Below are 9,114 nucleotides of genomic sequence, written 5' to 3'. Positions count from 1 at the left end.
TTTTTGTATTTTTAGTAGAGACGGGGTTTCACTATGTTGGCCAGGCTGGTCTCGAACTCCTGAACTCAGGTGATCCGCCCACCTCGGTCTCCCAAAGTGCTGGGATTATAGGCATGAGCCACCGTGCCCGGCAATCCATTAGATCTTGATGTGTGGAAGACTCCCTTTTGAGTTACAAAGTCTTAGTGACACAGTAATATATTTCCATCACTAAGGGTTTAATCATATCTCTTGGCTCTAGAGCAAATATACAGAGGATTATAATATGGTAAATTCTGGGTTTGAGTTTTTAGTTTTTTGTCCATCTATATACAAATCACAAAATATTTTTATTCCCAGAAAATAATATAAACATTACACTTTTTTCCCCCACCGAGATGGAGTCTTGCTCTGTGGCCCAGGCTGGAACACAGTGGCAGGATCTTGGCTCACTGCAACCTCCGCCTCCCAGCTTCAAGCAATTTTCCCTTCTCAGCCTCCTGAGTATCTGTGATTACAGGCATGTGCCATCACACCCAGCTAATTTTTGTATTATTAGTAGAGACAGGGTTTCACCACATTGGCCAGGCTGGTCTCGGACTCCTGACCTCAAGAGATCCACCTGTCTTGGCCTCCCAAAGTGCTGGGATTACAGGCGTGAGCCACCACACCCAGCCAATATTACACATTTTTATTATATTAACAAAAATTTAGAGATGGAAAGGAGAGGTGGAAAGAAAGGCAAGTTTTCTCATTTCTGTGTCTTTCATTATGGGGAGATATAGTTTAAAGGTGGTAAATCAATAAATAATTAAATTAATTGAATCAAATTAAAATAATTATATTAATGATAAATATTAGGAAAACTAAAAAGCAGAAATTGTTAACAGAATTGCCTCTAGGGTGTAAGACTTAAGAAATGTGTAGAAAAACAACACAAAAATAAAATAAATGTGGAGGAAAAGAGACTTTATTTTCTCTTTTGTGCCCTTCATAAAATGTAAATATTGCATGTGTGTATGTACATACCTGGTAAAAATTTTCAAAAACTTGAAAAGTTGTCTTAATGCTGTGAAAAAAAAATAATATTCTTTTCCATTGGGCAAGAAAATAGATGAAAGCGGCCAGGCCTGGTGGCTCATGCCTATAATCCCAGCACTTTGGGAGGCCAAGGCAGGTGGATCGTCTGAGGTCAGGAGTTTGAGACCAGCCTGGCCAACATAGTGAAACCCCATCTCTACTAAAAATACAAAAATTAGCTGGGCGTGGTGGTGTGCACCTGCAGTCCCAGCTACTCAGGAGGCTGAGGCAGGAGAATCTCTTGAACCCAGGAGGTGGAGGTTGCAGTGAGCCGAGATTGAGCCACTGCACTCCAGCCTGGGTGACAGAGTGAGACTCTGTCTCAAAAATTTAAAAAAATAAATAAATAAAAAAGAAAGAAAGAAAAGATATATAAAAGCATTTTCTCAAAAGTTTTTACTATAGATGGCATGTCTAATATAACTTACTCACTTTTATGATCAGTTCTGTAGCCCTGAACAGTTAACAAACCAAGAAATCTTAATGTTGCTTTTTATCCACTGCTGCCACAAGGTAACAGCATCATAGTCTTTTTTCATGGCCCAGATAATAAAAGTAGGTTGTTTGGCAGTCCAAAAGTATTTACTCTTAATATATCTAGTCACTTGGTGAAATTTCTGCTCATTTTATTGAAAAGCCAGTAAGTCTCTAGATCTTGCTTATTCATAAGTATGCTTTTTAATAGCAAGCAACTTTATTCTCATGTCAAAAAAGAAAATTGAAACCGATGAGCATTCAGATACTTCTCTATGTTCCCATTGTTCCTTGAATTATAGTCTATTCAGGGAACTGATATGCATCTTATTAACTCTCAGTACTAGTTAGGTTGAAATTCAGGCTTTGCAATTTCTCACTTCTTATTACTAAAATTAATAAGCTTCAGTGGCTGCTTACTAAAATAACAGTCAAGAATTGACTTACACTGAGAGAACTTATTTGTCTCCCACTAAATGGTTCCTCTTTAAACCAAATCCAGAGGAAGTAGGAACTCTGTAGGTATTTTTCTACATGGATACTTTTAACTATTTGATTTGAAAATGTTGTGGGGCTCTGGGAGGTCAATGGAAGACATGGAACAGAACTTCAGCTTTGTGGGGTGGGTTGCATTTGTTTAATACAGATAAAGATGGCAAGCCTGTTCCAGATGGTAAAATGATTTGGGCAAAGGAACAGCAGCAGGAATTTTCAGGGAATACTGTTTATATTAATATATTAATTGTGTTATTATTAAATGTGGGAAGTAGGTTTGGGAAGATAGTTTGGATTCTCATTTTGAATACAAAAGCTTGAACTACATCCTGAAGACTAGGGAGAAGTGTTGAAGGTTTGCTCTACGCTTTATTTTAAGAAAAATCAACTTATTGTTCTTGTGAAAATAATATGTTTTCACTGCAAATCATCTAAGCAATGCAAAAGAAAAAGAAAAAACCCCCTGAAATCTCATTATTTGACAATTATACCTCAATAAAGCTGGGGGGAAATATTTTTTTAAAAAAACAACTCCTAAGTCCAACCATCTAAAAATAGTCACTATTAACATTTGATTAACATCATTCTAAATATCTTTTTATGCTTTTATATGGATAGAATGATAGATAAATAGGTATATAGACATAGGTACTTTAAAAAATTGTATCATAAGGTGTGTTATTAAAAAATAAAAAGTATTAAATTCAAGTTTACTTGAATTTAACAGAATTGAGTTAAAGTTAATTGAATTCTGTTAATCCTGAATTCTAATTTAAGTTAATTGAGTTAAAGATTCAAAAATTCAAGTTTACTTGAATTAAATAAACTTAAAGGAATAAAAAGGAAAAAAGGAACAAGTATAAAAAGAAATTTTAAAATCTGGACTTCAAATAAGGGTTAGGAAAAGTGACTTTGACATTATGTTGTTTTGTTTATTTGAAGTTTATTTAATTTTATTTAATTTAAATTTAATTTTATGAGACAGGGTCGTGCTCTGTCATCCAGACAGCAATGCAGTGGCATTGCAGCCTTGAACTCCTCCCACCTCAGCCTCCCAAGTAGCTGGGACCACAGGTATGCGCCACTACACCCAGCTAATTTTTTAGGAATGGGGTCTTGCAATATTGCCCATGCTGGTCTTGAACTCCTGAGCTCAAGCAAATCCTCCTGCTACAGCTTCCCTAGTTGCTGGGATTACAGGCATGGGCAACTGCCCAGGTCTGGTTTTTTAAGAATACGTTTTAAATTAGAATCTATTGTAAGCCCAAGGAGAGTGCACTCGTACTATACTATCTTCCATTACCTCCCTCCACAGGGCCCAATATTTCTTAGTCATACTATTTTACATTGTTAATTCATATAATATGTACATGGTATAAAGCAATGATTCACACAGGTATTCAGTATTAATTCTGTATTTAAACAGATTCAATGATCATCACAAATCCTTTTCCCAAGACTTCTTAATTATTGAAGTCTTAATTTTGCCCTATTTCTTAATTGGCTGAATTTCACTTTCAAGCATTTTCTCAAGAAGAATTTGAAAGAGCTTTTTTTTTTTTTTTGAGATGGAATTTCACTCTCGTTGCCCAGGCTGGAGTGCAATGGTGTGATCTTGGCTCACCACAACCTCCGCCTCCCGGGTTCAAGCGATTATCCTGCTCAGCCTCCTGAGTATCTGGGATCACAGGCATGTGTCACCATGCCCGGTTAATTTTGTATTTTTAGTAGAGATGGGGTTTCTCCATGTTGGTCAGGCTGGTCTCAAACTCCCAACCTCAGGCAATCTGCCTGCCTCGTCCTCCCAAAGTCCTGGGATTACAGGCGTGAGCCACCATGCCTGGCCAGAGAGAGCTCTTTCCTATGCATTCTTTTGTATTTGTGGGAATCTGCCTAGTATCTTTATTTCCAAATGACATCTTGGCTGGGTATAATATTCTTGGATCATACTTTTGTTCTTTCAGAATTCCGTAGCCAGTGCTCCATTGGCTTCTGTCTCTGGAATGTTGCTGTTGAGAAATGTAAGGATAGCCTGAGTTTTTTTCCTTGTAGGCATTCTACTTTTTCTGCCTGGTTATCTGAAGTTCAATAAGTTAATTACAATATTTTTCAGGACAGAATATTCTGTATCAAAGTGCTTTCTGTCTTGACCTTTCAAGCTGTAGATTAGTACTTCATTTTGGGGCAAACTTTTGTTTTTATATTTTTGAATACTTCTGTTCCATTTAATGAGTTCTCAATTTCAGGGACACCAATAACTTCTGTCTTCCATATCTATAGATTTCTATCTGATTGTTTTAATATCTTTGTGTTTTCATCTACCATTATTTTGATTATTTAAAACCATTTTCCATATCAATAGTTCCATTTCTAGGAGTGTAAAAGTCTTTAAAAAAGAAAAGAAAAAACTAATTCCACTCCTAGCCATGTCTATTTGGTTCCTTGTTTTCAGGTATTTATTAGTCTTTGGATTCTCAAATGTGCAACTTCCCTATTCATCTCCTTCCGTTGTTTTATTATCTTGGTTTTGAGTTCTTATTCTATTGAGCTCATTTTCTTGTCTTTTTTTTAGAGACAAGGTCTTGCTCTGTTGCCCAGGCTGGAGTACAGTGGCACAATCATAGCTCACTGTAACCTTGAACTCCTGGGCTCAAGAAATTCTCCTGCCTCAGGGTCCCAAGTAGCTAGGATTACAGGTGCCCAGCACCATGCCTGGTTAAATTTTTTTATTCTTGTAGAGACAAGGTGTTGCTATGTTGCCCAGACTGGTCTTAAACTCCTGGCCTCAAGCAATCCATTCACCTTGACCTCACAAAGCACTAGGATTACGTAAGTGTTAGCCACCACACCTGACCTGAGGTCATTTTCTTAATAAATTGTTCTACAGCTCAAAGCACTTGGGGTGAAGTTTTTTGTTTTTCTATTTGTCTCCAGAATTGCTTTCCACTTTATTTGAAACTTATTTGTTTTTCCTACTGAACTGCAGTTAGAAGAGTGTTATTTTATGCAGTATGCAGTTTTTCTATGATTTTTATGCTTGTCTGAAGAGGGGAGAGGGCTGCTCATGTGCAGCCTTTGTTAGAATACCTAAGTTCTGCAATCACTTCTGAGGTTTTGTTAAGTGTCTATTCCAAAGTTCACCCCACTAATGGCTGGTGTAGTCCATTTCCATGGAAAAGATAGCTTCACTTTTTGGAACTTCTCTCAGTTCAGCATGTTTTCCTGAGTCTTCACTGCCATCTTAAAGATTTGGTCTATTCCATACTTCCCATTTCAAGTTTTTCTCCCCAGTAGCCATTTTCAATTTTCCAGAGATGGGAGGGGAAAGAGAAGGAAAGCGTTTACTTTTCTTCTCTCTTGTAATGTATGTGGATATGTTTGTGTTAATTGTCAGGATTTTGTGGATCTAATTGTATGAGTTTTGATGGAATGAAGGCAGAACTGGAAGCCTTGACATGCTCCAGCCCAGAATCTTCTATTTATTTCCTTGACCACCACTTACTGACATTTAAGATACTGACGTTTTTTTGCCGTGGATACAATTTTAACTTTTTAAACTTTCCTAGATATTGGTTGAAACAGAGTCTGTGAGATAGCTTTACTCCATTTTCTTAATCTAGAAGTCTAATAATTTTTAATGTGTGTATATTTTCCATTTTTATTATAAAAATTGTATATCCTTGCTGTAAAATTTCAAACCAAACACAAGTATATAAAGTAAAAAGTGAAAGTTCCTTGTAATACTGCCCTCAAGAATATTACTTTTAACGGTCTCCAGATCTTTTTAAATATTTATTTTCTTTCTTTTTTCTTTCTTTCTTTTTTTTTTTTTTAAGATGGGGTCTCGCTCTGTCGCCCAGGCTGGAGTGCAGTGGCTCGATCTTGGCTCACTGCAAGCTCCGCCTCCCGGGCTCACACCATTCTCCTGCCTCAGCCTCCCGAGTAGCTGGGACTACAGGTGCCTGCCACCACGCCCGGCTAATTTTTTGTATTTTTTAGTAGAGACGGGGTTTCACCGTGTTAGCCAGGATGGTCTCGATCTCCTGACCTCGTGATCCACCCGCCTCAGCCTCCCAAAGTGCTGGGATTACAGGCGTGAGCCACCGCACCCAGCCTCTTTTTTCTTGGCAATGCTTTGACCTTTCAGTGATAATGTACAAATATATAAATACACAGATGTCTTCTTTAAAAAAAGAACAGCTTTATTGAAATATATTCCACATGCCATAAAAGTCACCCATTTTATGTGTACAAACCAATGATTTTTAGTAAATTTATAGAGTTGTACAACCATCATATATGTATGTACATAAATACATAGTTATTTTCTTATGCCCTGTTTAACTTACTCTCCCAGTTCTAAAATGTACTTACCTACTTACCTATGCCCACAGCATGCCCACATGGCTAGAGGCTGCTTTTCAGAACTCTTGGGTAGTTCTGTTCCTGTCAATTGAGCTACTTGCTTACTAAATGCCTTTGGGCTTATTTTATTTATTTATTAATATATCGGTGATATTTGCTATCATAATTTAGTTAAATTTTTGAAAACATGAAATATGAGCATAAAGAGAAAAGAGATGTTTCTGTGAAAACTAAGTTGAATGCATTGGAAAAGCTTGTTAAAGGCAAGTTGTTAAAAAAAATTGTTAAAGTAACTCTGGGTCGGAAATCTGAGAGTGGAAAGTCTTCCATCTAGAATAATTTCACATCCAAACACTGTGGCTCACACCTGTAATCCCAGCACTTTGAGAGGCTGAGGCGGGAGGATCCCTTGAGCCCAGGAGTTCCAGGCTGCAGTAAGCTATGATTGTGTCACTGCAGTCCAACTTGGGGAATAGAGCAAGACCCTGTCGCAAAAAAAAAAAAAAAAAAAAAAAGTCATCATAGCACTATTCATAATAGCAAAGACATGGAATTAACCTAAGTATCCATCAACAGTAGACTGGATAAAGAAAATGTGGTAGGTATACACCATAGCATACTACACAGCCAAAAAAGGAATGAGATAATGTCCTTTGCAGCAACATAGATGGAACTGCTTAGGTCATTATCCTAAGCAAACTAATGCAGGAAAACAAAACCAAATACCACATGTTCTCACTTATAAGTGGGAGCTAAACATTAAGTACAGATGGACACAAAGAAGGGAACAACAGACACTGGGGCCTACATGAGGGTGGAAATGAAAAGTTACCTATTGGGTACTATGTTCATTATGGCAGTGACAAAATAAAACGTACACCCAACCTCCTTGACATACAACTTACCTATATAGCAAACTTGCATATGTGACCCTGAATCAAAAATAAAAAACAAAAAGAATGTTGGTCTGGCACAATGGCTCACAGCTGTGATCCTAGAACTTTGGGAGGCTGAGGGGGGCGGATTGCCTGAGCTCAGGAGTTCGAGACCAGCCTGGGCAACATGGCGAAACCCTGTCTCTACAAAAAACACAAAAAATTAGCGGGGCATGTTGGTGGTGTGTCTGTAATCCCAGCTACTCGGGAGGCAGAGGCACGAGAATCGCTTGAACCCGGGAGGTGGAGGTTACAGTGAGCCAAGATCACGCCACTGCACTCCAGTCTGGGGGACAGAACAAGACCCTGTCTCAAAAAAAAAAAAAAATTGCATTCAGATTGCTTCACAAGTGTCTTTCAGTTATTGCTCCAGTTTAAAGAAACCTTTAAAGAAATTATAAATAGTTCATTAAAGGCAGGAAACTTCATTGAGCGGGCTATATTCACAGAAAAATCCTGAAACTACTTCAATTTGTAAGTCTTAAGTTAAAATAAAATGCTTATACAATAAGCTTATTTTTCTTAAAACAAAACTGTATACTGTACTGTATAATGCTTTATGATTCTGCATTTTTTTTTCTTTGAGACAGAGTTTCACTCTTGTTGCCCAGGCTGGAGTGCAGTAGCTCAATCTTGGCTCACTGCACCCTCTGCCTCCTGGGTTCAAGTGATTCTCCTGTCTCAGCCTCCTGAGTAGCTGGGATTACAGGCACCCACCACCATGCCCGGCTAATTTTTTGTATTTTTAGTAGAGATGGGGTTTCATCATGTTGGCCAGGCTGGTCTCAAACTCCCAACCTCAGGTGATCCACCTGCCTCAGCCTCCCAAAGTGCGCCCAGTGGATTCTGCATTTTAATCGACTTTTCAACTAACAACTTACCTCTAGTCCCAATGGCATGGAATAGAAGAGATTACAGACCGTGGGTTTGTAATCGACTTTTCTTTTACAACATATTAAGGGCATTTTTCATGTCACTTTATGTAAATTTACCTCATTTTTCTTTTTTGAGAGAGACAGGGTCTCACTGTTGCCCAGGGCAACAGCGAGATCATAGCTCAGTGCAATGGCGAGATCATAGCTCAATGCAGCCTTGAACTCCTGGGCTCAAGTGATCCTCCCACCTTAGCCTCCCCAGTAGCTAGGATTACAGGCACATACCACCACCCCTGGCTAATTAAAAAAAAATTTTTTTTTTGTAGAGATGGGGTCTTGCTATGCTGCCTGGGCTGTACTCTCTTTTTATTTATTTTTTATTCTTATTTTTTGAGACAGAGTTTTGCTCTTGTTGCCCAGGCTGGAGTACAATGGTATGATCTCAGCTTACCGCAACCTCTGCCTCCCGGGTTCAAGAGATTCTCCTGCCTCAGCCTCCTGAGTAGCTGGGATTACAAGTATGCGCCACCACACCCGGCTAATTTTGTAATTTTAGTAGAGACGGGATTTCTCCATGTTGGTCAGGCTGGTCTCGAACTCGCTACCTTAGATGATCTGCCCACCTCAGCCTCCCAAAGTGCTGGGATTACAGGAGTGAGCCACCGCGCCCGGCCCTATACTCATTTTTTATAAAACTGGCCTCATATTATTCCATTGTATAGTGGATACACTCTAATTTCTTTATAAATTATTTAAACTATTTTTTGATGTTTTGTTGAAAAAAAACTTGAGCAGGGAACTGATATTATGAAGGTGGATTGAGGGATGAATGTGGCAATAGAGCATAAAATGAATTAAAGAGGAGAGAATGGAAAAGGAAATGGTTGATGAGAGACCCTTGAAATAATCCA

Source organism: Homo sapiens, chromosome 1 (assembly GCF_000001405.40).
Source record: "Homo sapiens chromosome 1, GRCh38.p14 Primary Assembly".
NCBI classification, from domain to species: domain Eukaryota; kingdom Metazoa; phylum Chordata; class Mammalia; order Primates; family Hominidae; genus Homo; species Homo sapiens.
This window is presented reverse-complemented; position numbering follows the sequence as displayed.